The 12,662-nt window shown below is 37.8% G+C and overlaps 1 long non-coding RNA gene across 1 annotated transcript in view; it reads left to right on the plus strand.

The window, feature by feature from the left end:
• The window catches only part of LINC03000 (long intergenic non-protein coding RNA 3000), a 765,030-nt gene that overhangs the window by 119,370 nt on the left and 632,998 nt on the right, over nt 1–12,662 (plus strand). The window lies entirely within an intron of this gene.

Below are 12,662 nucleotides of genomic sequence, written 5' to 3' on the forward strand. Positions count from 1 at the left end.
TTTCTTCGTAACTTCACCAGCATCTATAATTTTTTGACTTCTTAATAATAGCCATTCTGAGTAGTGTAATGTGGTATCTTATTGTGGTTTTGGTTTGCATTTCTCTAATAATTAGTGATGTTGAGCATTTTTTCATATGCTTCTTGGCTGGGCGTATGTCTTCTTTTGAAAAGTGTCTGCTTATGTCCTTTGCCCACCGTTTCATATTTGTTTTTTGTTTGTAGATTTGTTTAAGTTCCTTATAGATTCTGGATAATACACCTTTGTCAGATGCATAGTTTGCAAATACTGTCACCCATTCCATAGGTTATCTGTTTGCTCTGTTGATAGTTTCTTTTGCTGTGCAGAAGCTCTTTAGTTTAATTAGGTCCCATTTGTCAATTTTTGTTTTTGTTGCCATTGCTTTTGGTATCGTCGTCATGAAATCTTTGCCAGGTCTTATGTTCAGAACAGTATTTCCTAGATTATCCTCCAGGGTTTTTATAGTTTTAGGTTTTCTACTGAAGTTTTCAATCCATCTTGAGTTTATTTTTATATATGGTGTAAGGAAGGGGTCTAGTTTTAATCTTCTTCATATTACTAACCAGTTATCCCAGCACCATTTATTGAACAGGGAGTCCATTCCCCATTGCTTGTTTTGGTCAACTTTGTCAGATTTCAGATTGTTGTAGGTGTGAAGCATTATTTCTTGGCTCTATATTCTGCTCCATTGAGCTACATGTCTGTCTTTCTACCAGTACCATGCTGTTTTGGTGAGTGTGGCCTTGTGCAATTTGAAGTCAGGTAACATGATGCTGGCTAGCTTTTTCCTTTTTGCTTAGGATTGCTTTAGCTATTAAAGCTCTTTGTTTTTGATTCCATATGAATTTTTCAGTAGTTTTCTTCTAACTCTGTGAAGAATGTCATTAGGAGTTTGGTAGGAATAGCACTGAATCTGTAAATTGCTTTGGGCAGTATGGCCGTTTTAAAAATATTGATTCTTCTTATCTATGAGCATGAAATATTTTTACATTTGTTTGTGTCATCTCTCACTTCTTTGAGTAGTGTTATGTAATTCGCATTGTAGAGATATTTTGCCTCCCTGATTAGCTGTATTCCTAGATATTTTATTATTTTTGTGGCTATTGTGAATGGGATTACATTCCTGACTTGGCTCTCAGCTTGGATGTTGTTGGTGTATAGGAATGTTACTGACTTTTGTATGTTGATTTTGTACCCTGAGACTTTGCTAAAGCTGTTTATCAGATCAAGAGGCTTTGGGGCAGAGACTGCGGGGTTTTCTAGGTATAGAATCATATAATCTGCAAATAGGGATAGTTTGACTTCCTTTCTTCGTATATGGATGCCTTTTTTTTTCTCCTGCCTGATTGCTCTGGTGAGGGATTCTAGTACTGTGTTGAATAAGAGTGGTTTGAGGGGGCATTCTTGTCTTGTTCTGGTTCTCAAAAAGAATGCTTCCAGCTTCTGCCCATTCAGTGTGATGCTGGCTGTGGGTTTGATATGGATAGCTTTTATTATTTTGAAGTATGTTCATTCAATGCCTAGTTTGTTGGGGTTTTCTTAAGATAAAGCGATGTTGGATTTTATCGAAAGCTTTTTTCTGCATCTATTGAGATAATCATGTGGTTGTGTTTTTAGTTCTGTTTATGTGATGAATCACATGTACTGATTTATGTAGGTTGAACCAACCTTGTATCCTAGGGATAATGCTTACTTGATCATGGTGGATTAGCTTTTTCATGTGCTGCTGGATTCAGTTGGCTATTATTTTGTTGAGGATTTTTACATCTATGTTCATCAAGGATATTGGCCTGAAGTTTGTGTGTGTGTGTGTGTGTGTGTGTCTCCCAAGCTTTGGTATCAGGATGATGTTGACCTCATAGAATGAGTTAGAGAGTAGCCCTTGCACCTCCATTTTCAGGAATAGTTTCACTAAGAATTGTACCAGCTTTTCTTTATACATCTGGTAGAATTTACTGTCAATCTGTCTGGTCCTGGGCTTTTTTTGGTTGGCAGACTTTTTGTTACTGATTCAATTTTGGAACTCATTATCAATCTGTTCAAGGATTCGATTTCTTCCTGCTTCAGTTTTAGGAGACTGTATGTGTCCAGTAATTTACCCATTTATTGTAGGTTTTCTAGATTGTGTGCATAGAGATTTTTCTAATGGTCTCTTAGGGTTTTTTTGTTTGTTTGTTTAAGGAATGAAGGGTTTTATTGAAAATGAAAATATACTTCACAGTGTGGGCCCGAACATAGAGGGTCAAAGGCCCTGTTACAGAGTTTTTTGTGAGTTTAAATACCCTCTACTTGGGGTATGCCCTATGTAGATGAAGAGAATGAAGTAAAGTTACAAAGTCATTTACTCAGTGTCTGCCCTATGGAGAGGATATTTCCTGTTATAGCTGAAATGTGAATTGGCCTTATATTCCCTGCTTCCAGACTCTACTTTCCTGCCTCATCTCCCCACTTAGAGATGTGATCCTCATAAATCGTATGGGAGGCAAAGGGACCAATGGTCTTTTTTTCTGCAACTGCTTCATGCTGACTTGGGGCATAGTCTCTACCTACTGGGGACCACAGAACTCTAGCCCTGCTCTATCTAGTGGAGGCAGGGTAGTTTCTTGATGGCCAGGGTTGGTGTCCACCTGGAACTGGCTGGAGCCTTTGTTGCATGATCATCTGAAGCTTGATTGTCTCTCAGGGGTTCCAATGGGTGTACAGTTCCAAAGTATGGAGGGACCCTTCTCAGTTGCGAGACCATGAACCCAAAGTTCAAGGTCCCAAAGTTTTGTTGTAGTGTGGATGCCAAGAACAGTCTTTCTCTGATGTTTCCAGAAGATTCAAATCATAAATAGCTTTCTTTACCCTTTTGCCAGCATGCCAGGCTTCTGGGTTCTCTCTCCCTGAGTGAGTGGCCCTAGTGAACCTGCATTACTCTTCCTCCTGGCTGGCTCACCAAAATATGTTAACAGTGGAAGGTGTCCAAGTTCTTGACATCTTGAACAAAGAATTGGACAAAATGCACAAACAAAGCAAGGAAGGAATGAAGGGTTTTATTGAATGTGAAAGTATACTCCACAGTCTGGGAGCGGGCCTGAGCAATGGGGCTCAAAGTCCTCTCTGAGGGTCTTTTTGTGTTTCTGTCAGGTCAGTGGTAATGTCTCTTTTGATATGTCTGATTGTGTTTATTTGAATCTTCTCTTTTTTCTTTATTCATCTAACTTGCACTCTATATATCTTATTATTTATTTCAATAAACCAGCTGCTGTATTTGTTAATCTTTTGTATAATTTTTTGCATCTCAATTGAGTTCAATTCAGGTTTGGTTTTAGTTATTTCTTGTCTTATGCTAGCTTTGGGGTTGGTTTGCTTTTGTTTTTCTAGTTCCTCTAGTTGCAATGTTGGGTTGTTAATTTAAGATCTTTTTAAAATTTTTGATGTGGGCATTTAGTGCTGTAAACTTCCCTCTTAACCCTGCATTAGGTGTTTCCAAGATTCTGGTGTGTTGTATCTTTGTCCATATTATATTCAATGTATTTCTTGATTTCTTTCTTAATTTCATTATTTACCCAATAGTCATTCAGGAGCAGGTTGTTTAATTTCCATGTAATTATATGGTTTTGAGCAATTTTATTAATACTGACTTCTATTTTTGCTGTGCTATGGTCCAAGAGCGTAGTTAGTATGATTTTGATTTTCTTTAAATTTGCTGAGAATTATTTTGTGTCCAATTGTGTGGTTGATTTTAGAGTTTCTGCTGTATATAGATGAGAAGAATGTATATTCTATTCTTTTTGGGTGGAATATTCTATAGATCTCCATTAGGTCCATTTGGTCAAGTGGTGAATTCGGTTCCTGAATATCTTCATTAGTTTTCTGCTTTAATGATCTGTCTAATACTACCATTAGGGTATTTAAATCTCCTACAAGTATTTTGTATTTATCTAATTCTCTTCACAGGTCTCTAAGAACTTGTTTTATAAATATTGGTGCTCCTCTGTTGGGTGTATATATATATTTAGGATATTTAGGTCTTCTTGTTGGATTGAGCCCTTTACCATTATGCAACGCCTTTCTTTTTCTTCTCTAATCTTTGCTGGTTTAAACTCTGCTTTGTCTGAAATTAGAATAGTAACACCTGCTTATTTCTGTTTTCCATTTGCTTTGGAGATTTTTCTCTATTCCTTTTCTTTGAGCTTATGGGTGTCATTGCATGTGGGATAGGTCTTAGTCTCTTGAAGACAGCAAACCACTGGGTCTTGATCCTTTGTCCAGCCTACCACTCTGTGCCTTTTAATTGGGCCATTTAACCCATTTACATTCAAATTTAGTATTGATATGTATGGATTTGTTTCTGTCATCATGTTGTTAGCTGGTTATCATGCAGGCTTGTTTATATGGTTGCTTTATAGTGTCGCTGGTCGATGTAGTTAAGTGTGTTTTTGTAGTGGCCAGTAACAGTCTTTCCTTTCCATGTTTAGCACTCCCTTCAGGACTTCTTATAAGGTAAGTCTGGTGGTAACAAAATCCTTTAGCATTTTCTTGTCTGAAAATGATCTTATTTCTCCTTCACTTATGAAGCTTAGTTGGCTGAACATAAAATTCTTGCTTGGAAATTATTTTCTTTAAGAATGTTGAATATAGGTCCCCATTCTCTTCTGGCTTGTTAGGGTTTCTGGTGAACTGTCTGCTGTTAGCTTGATGGGGTTCCCTTTGTAGGTGGCTTTCCCCTTCTCTCTAACTGCCTTTGTGATTTTTCTTTAATTTAGACCTTGGAGAATCTGATGACTACATGTCTTGGGAATGGTATTCTTGCATAGTATGTCACAGGAGTTATCTGCCTTTCCTGAGTTAAAATATAGGCTTCTCAAGCGATTTTGTGGAAATTTTCATGGACAATATCCTGAAATATGTTTCCCATGTTTTGTTCCTATCTCTTTCAGGGATGCCAGTGAGCCATAGATTTGGTCTGCTGACATAATTCCATATTTCTCAGAGACTTTGTTCTTTCTTTTTTACTATTTTTATTATTTTTGTCTGAGTTAGTTTGGAGAACCAATTTCAAGCTCTGAGATTCTTTGCTCAGCTTGATCTGTTCTACTGTTAATATTTGTGATTGCATTACGAAATTCTTATACTGTGTTTCTCAGTTTTACTAGGTCGTTTTGTTCTTTCTGATAATGGCCATTTAGTCTATAAGCTTCTCTATCATTTTATTGTAATCCTTAGATTCCTTCGATTGAGTTTCAACATTCCCCTGAATCCTGATGATCTTTGTTCTTATTTATATTTTGAATCCAATTTATGTCATTTCAGCCATTTAAGCTTGGTTAAGAACCCTTGCTGGGGAACTGGTGAGGTCATTTGGATGAAAGAGGACACTTTGGCTTTTTGAATTGTCAGAGTTTCTTGGGCTGGTTCTTTCTCATCTGTGTAGACTGATGATCCTCTAACTGTGGTGTGATTTGAGTACAGTTGGTAGACTAGTTTTCTGGATGTTTTCAGTGGGCCAAGGCTTTGTCCAGGGTCTATCTTTGTAGCTGAATTCTTGTCCTTAGTTTTACGGGGGGGTATATCAACAAAGTATTTTTGGTGTTGACGTCTGGGCTGTGATCTAGTATTTGATGCTTAAGTAAAATGGTAGTAGGTACTCTCTTGCTCAGCCAGGTGGCCCCTCTATATTTCCTCAGGATTGCAGCCATGTTCCCTCTCAGTGCTCTGAAAGGGTGAGCTCCTTTCCCACTCAAGTGCTGGCTGCAGGTCTCAGCTTGACATTCTGGAGTTAGACACCACAGTTATAGGGTGAGCTCAGGCTTTATGTTCCTTCCCAGATGGAGGGAGCAGGGGAAGGGAATTTGACAGTTGCTGTGGCAGACGCCTTTCACTTGTCTCTTGGGGATCCACCCCATAGAAATGCAGAGCTGCTACCAATCAGTGCAGTTGGCCCAGTGTGGGGTGGTTACATTGTGGGCCCAAGCCTAGGTCCCCGCCTAGTGACAAGCAGGGAGGGCAGGAGGCTTGTTAGGCAGACAAACTTGCCTCTCCTCCTTAGGGCAGCTGTGGTGTGCTGGAGGTGTGATTAAAGTACTCAGAGTCTTCATTCCTTCCCCAGTCCAAGGGCAATAAGGGCAGTACCACTGCAGCAGCAGGGGCACAGGGGCTTTCAGTTGCCCCAGGGAGCTGCACCTCAGAGAAACTGCTATGGGGAATGTTCAGCCAGAGGTGCTGAGGCTGAACACTCACATGGAAAACAGTCTAAACAGTCTGGCCACTTTTCCATAAGGCAGTTGCACTGTGTTGGGGGTCTGCATTAGTCCCTCATCACTACATGCCCTCTGGAGCCTAAGGGCAACAGGAGCGAGGGATGCAGAGTAGCAAAATGGTGTCCTGCCTGCTCCCTCTGGGAGCTCTGTCCCACAAAAGTGCAGAGCTGCTACTGGCCCAAGAGCCCAGGTCAGTGGTGACTGGAGTCCCAGGTCAAGAGGCCCTGCCCAGTGAGGAGTAGCAGGATTGGAGATTCTTGTGGAAAACAGTCTGGCTGCTCTCCGTAAAGTGACTGCCCTCTGCTGGGGGTCTGCTTTAGCTAAAACGACTTGAAACAACAGACACGTAGACTTTAAAAATCAGACCTGTACTTGACTGAAGCACTGCTCTTTTTGTAAATAGGGTAATAATGATACCATAGTCACCCAGGCGGTAAAATCTGACCATTTAAAGGGTTACAAAGCATCCATTTTTAATAGGAAAATCACAAACTCCTAAAATTCCCCATTTTGACTGTTGACAAAATCGTGTTTTAGGGGGTGCAGGGGGAGATAGAGGTAGAAGAACTTATGAAAGCAAGAAATCTACTGTAATAAAATGCCAGGAAGCTTCAGAGAAATGAGATACTAATGTTGACTGAGGTAGAAAAAATACGAATGATACAATCTAAACTTTGTTTAGGACAGATAGGGATCATGCAGTTGTACAATGCCTGATACTTAGGCCCAATGCTTGGATTAATGCTTTATTATTGCCATCTTGAAATTCTTAATAATACTTGTACAAGGAGGCTTGCATTTTCTTTTGCACTGGACCAAGCTAATTATATACCCAGTTTTGAGGACAAATCATTGTTAGAAGGATTGTTGCAAAAAAGAAAATAACGCAAGCAAAGGATTATAATGGGGGCAGGGATTTCAATTTTATTAGAGTGAAAATTTCATAGAAAGGCAAGACTGTTTTTCAAAAGGAAAGGAAGGATATTAGACATGAACCCCAACAGCATGGGGCAACTCATATCTCCTGTAATTTATAACATCTACTTCTATCTATCTATCTGTATTTTAATTACTGGATGCTGATTTACACAGCTTGATCAATGCTGCAATGCTAATGTCTTGAGGACTCAGGATTTATTTTATTGTGAACTAGTTATGCAAATGAAATAAAATGACTCAGGAAAAGAAAGGGAGAAGGAGAAGAAACACTAACAAAGCCCTGGTTTGATTACTTGCTGTAGCTCTCTTCTCTCATATTCTACCCACAAAACCTTGTGACATTCTGATTGTCCAAGGAAATACCTTTGATGTTATTAACCAGGCTTCTAAGTGTTTATTAGTATTGTGAATAGTCAAACTGGCATCATGTGAATAATATCCACAGTCAAAATCTATTCTGCTACTATGTATCTTATACACAAATGTGGAACAGTGAAGAAGTAATAAGCGGATAGGGCATGCTATCTGTACATGGACAAGGGCAAGATATTGCTCATTTTAATTAGAATTGACCAGTATGATTGTGTCAGAGTCATTGTTCTACTGAAGCATGTTTTAAAATTTAAATTATTTTGGTAGTTTGCATTAACTTCAAATAAGTGTTCTCAGTGATAATATCACAATACATAGTACATTCAGACGGATAATTATTCACACAGTGACATGACAAAAAACCTGGACTGTTTCTTGTCAAAAAAGCAATCATTTCTAGTCAACTCATCTTTGACAAAGAAGCAAAGACAACTCTATTGAGAAAGGATATTCTTTCAACAAAAGGTGCTACAAAAAATGGACATCAACACATTACAAAAATGAATTTAGATGTTGATTTTTACATCTTTCATAAAAACTAACTCCAGAAGGGTCATAGACCTAAATGTAAAACACAAAAGTATAAAACTCCTAGAAGATAGCATAGGAGAAAATCTAGGTCACCCTAGGTTGGTAAAGCATTTTCGAAGCACAATCAATGAAGGAAAAGAATTATGAGTTGGACTTCACTAAAATATAAATCTGCTCTGTGAAATACACATTTAAGAAAATGTAAAGACAAGCCACAGACTGGGAGAAAATGTTTCCAAAAAGCATATCTGGTAAAGAACTTGTATCCAAAATATACAAAGAATTCTTAAAACTCAATAAAAAGAAAGCAAACAACCAGCCTAGCCAACATGGCAAAACCCTGACTCTGCTGAAAAAAAATTAAAAATAAAATTATCTGGGCATGGCGGTGCATGCTTGTAGTCCCAACTCTTCAGGAGACTAAGGCAAAAGAATTGTTTGAACCCAGGAGGTGGAGTTTGCAGTGCACTGAGATTGTGCCACTGCACTCCAGCCTGGGTGACAAAGCAACTCTCTGTCTGAAAAGTAACAACAACAACAACAACAACAACAAATAGAAAGCAAACAAACCAATTAAAAGTGAGCAAAAGATCTCCAAGGAGACCTCCCTGAAAGAGCTATGGAGATGGCAAACAACCATATGAAAGGATGATCAATATTATATGTTATTAGACAACTACCAATTAAAGCCACAATGAGATACCCCACACACCTATTAGATCAGCTAAAACCCAAAACTGACAACACCAAATGCTGACAAGTATGTGGAGCAACAGGAACTCTCATTTATTACTGGTGAGAATGAAACATGATATAGCCACTTTGGAAGATGGTTTTGCAGTTTCTTCCAAAGGTAAACACAGTCTTACAATACAAAAATTATGCTCCTAGGTATTTACCCACACCTAGGAGCATGATTTTTGTATTATAAGATAAGACTGTGTTGAAAACTTATGTCATGTAAAAACTTGTACATAAAGGATTATAACACCGTTATTCATAATTTCCCCAAATTGGAAGCAACCACGATGTCCTTCAATATGTAATAGATAAACACTGGTATATCCATACAATTGAACACGATTCAATGATAGGCACAGAAAGACAAATACTGCATGCTGTCACTCATATGTGGAATCTAACATAAAGTTGAACTCATAGAATCAGAGAGTAGAATGGTGGTTACCAGGTGCTGGGGGAGAGGAGGCAGGACTACTGGATAAATGTTAGTCAAAGGATACAAAATTTCAGTTAGGAGGAATAAGTTAAAGAGATCTATTGCATAACCTGGTGACTATAGTTAATAACAATGTATTGTATTCTTGCAAATTGCTAAGAGAATAAATTTTAAGTTTTCATCACAAAAAATGATAAATATATGAAGTGATGCATATGTTGATTAGCTCAATTTAACTGTTCCGTAATGTATGCATATTTCAAAATGTCATGCTGTCCATGATATGACATGATATAGAGATAACAATTATCTCTGTAATTGTTAAACAATTGTTTAATTGTTGTCAATTAAATTAAGAATTAAGAAAAAAATGAAAAATAAATCAGCCATGATTTCTTGATAAAGCCACAAAAAGACATGGAACAGCCTTAAATGCATATTGCTAGGTGAAAAGGGCCAGTCTGAAAGGGCTACATACTATATGATTCTGACTATAAGGCATTCTAACAAAGGCATTCTAACAAAGGCAGAACTATAAAGACAGTAAAAAGATCCATGGTCATTAGGGTTCAGGTGGAAGGGGAGAAGAATGAATGGGGGGAACCCAGAGGATTTTTAGGTAAATGAAACTATTTTGCATAATACCGTAATTGTACATACATGACATTATGCATTTGACAAAATCCACAGAATGTGCAACACCAAGAATTAAAACTAGTGTAAACTATGGACTTTAGTTAACAATAATACATAATTTTTGGTTCACCAATTGTAACAAATGTAGCACACAAATAAAGTATAATAATAGGGGAAAATGGGTGAGTGCAGAGGGTAGGGGATGGTGAGAGAGAGGACACATGTGGGAACTCTCTGTACTTTCTACTGAATTTTTCTGTAAACCTAAAACTGCTCTGTAAAGTAAAAGCTGTTAATGCTTTTTAAAAATGGTTATGGCAGTCTTCTAAGAAAGGCTGTATTTTCAGATTGAATATTTAGACTAATCATCATGAATTTTAGTGGATATACTGTTACATTTTCTAGAAATTATACTTTTAAGCATTGAAAATGTATGAAAGAGAAAAGATATATCACAGGCATTATGGTATAGTAGAAATTCCAACAAATTAGAGTCCGAAACTGGAGCTTTCACTCCATCTCTGTACCTTATTAGCCGTTTAAATAAGTTGAGTCTATTTATCTCCCTAAGCTTTATTTTCCAGATCCATTAAAATTAAATAATATTGCATGTAGTAATAGCATTACAAAAATATACATAGCAATGCAGAGAGGTTGGTTCAGAAGAAAATGGCCAGCAGGCAGCTTCCGAAGATTCCTTGGGCAAATATGCCCAGCTTAGGAACTTGCCTTACAGGCACAGAAAAGTGAAGATGTGAACAATGGCTTCATTGAGAGTGAGGTACCAATGCAGATAACCCTTTAAGTCATACAGAGAAGGAAATAACCATTTAGAGATTGGAACATTCAAAGTCCTATGCTAGCTTATTTTCTCCTTATAGGAAACCAAATCATTAGTTTTTACTAAATCATTAGTGAACCTATAGAAAATTAAATCATTATCAGAAGTTTCTTTAGAGGATATCAGCTTAACCAGAACAAAGAGAGTTCAACGAATTGAAAAGTTAACAGTGTCAGGAAAGAATACTCTAACTCATCCACTTCACATTAGAGATGGTCTTTCCATGGGACTGGGTTCTCAAGGCCAATTAGCTAAGAGGGCGGACTCCATTAATGAATGGCCATGTATGTGTTTGCTCTGCAGTAATCTTATTCCACACTGGCATACTCTCCAAGACTTCTTTTATGTAATATCTATTTTCTTTAGGTTGATGACCATATCTTCAACAAGGAAGAAGAGCCCGGCTTACTAAAGGAGCTTTTGTGTACATAGGCTCTGGAAGACTCTGTGCTGATAGAATTGTGTTTTTTTTTAATACATATATATATTATTATACTTTAAGTTCTAGGGTACATATGCACAACGTGCGGGTTTGTTACATATGTATACATTTGCCATGTTGGTGTGCTGCACCCATTAACTCGTCATTTACATTAGGTATATCTCCTAATGCTATCCCTCCCCCATTCCCCCACCCCACAACAGGCCCCGGTGTGTAATGTTCCTCTTCCTGTGTCCAAGTGTTCTCATTGTTCAATTCCCACCTATAAGTGATAACATGCGGTGTTTGGTTTTTTTGTCCTTGCGATAGTTTGCTGAGAATGATAGTTTCCAGCTTCATCCATGTCCCCACAGAGGACATGAACTCATCATTTTTTATGGCTGCATAGTATTCCATGGTGTATATGTGCCACATTTTGTTAATCCAGTCTATCATTGATGGACATTTGTGTTGGTTCCAAGTCTTTGCTATTGTGAATAGTGCCACAATAAACATACGTGTGCATGTGTCTTTATAGCAACATGTTTTATAATCCTTTGGGTATATACCCAGTAATGGGATGGCTGGATCAAATGGTATTTCTAGTTCTAGATCCTTGAGGAATCGCCACACTGTCTTCCACAATGGTTGAACAGTTTACAGTCCCACCAACAGTGTAAAAGTGTTCCTGTTTCTCCACATCCTCTCCAGCACCTGTTGTTTCCTGACTTTTTAATGATCGCCATTCTAACTGGTGTGAGATGGTATCTCATTGTGGTTTTGATTTGCATTTCTCTGACGGCCAGTGATGATGAGCATTTTTTCATGTGTCTGTTGGCTGCATAAATGTCTTCTTTTAGCTGTTCATATCCTTCGCCCACATTGACAAAGGGCTAATATCCAGAATCTACAAAGAACTGAAACAAATTTACAAGAGTTGTGTTTTAAGTACATGTTCCTCTATTTGACTATTTGAGTTCAAATCTTGGCTCCACTTCTCCAGTACTTGGCTCTTTTATTTATTTGACCTTAAGCAATTGGTTCAACATTCTAGGCCACAGTTTCCTTGCCATTAAATGGTTAGAGTAGCAATGACTATTTCATATTAGCTGTTATAAAAGTTGAAAGAAATTATGCAAATAAAGCACATAGCTCAGTTTCTGACATCACTTAAACACTCAATAAATTGTATCCTGTTTTATTATTAAAAAGCAATCTTATTTCCAATTTGGGGAGATGCCTTACCTTTTGTTTTCAAACAATGGACCAAATACCTGCTTATACTTCTTTGCAGGAAAGAGTATTTTGGCCACCAGGTCTTTCTTCTTTGGAATCAGCATCTAGAATTTTAGGTGCTATGACTTTCTCTTGTCCCTGTGGTTTAAGTGGGGTTCAAACTGACCCTCAGGGTAGAATATTTTGGTTCATATACTACCAAATATGACTCAATTAATACACCAAAATGCCCCTGGCCACAGG

The sequence above is a fragment of the Homo sapiens genome, chromosome 5 (assembly GCF_000001405.40).
Source record: "Homo sapiens chromosome 5, GRCh38.p14 Primary Assembly".
Classification (NCBI taxonomy): Eukaryota; Metazoa; Chordata; class Mammalia; order Primates; family Hominidae; genus Homo; species Homo sapiens.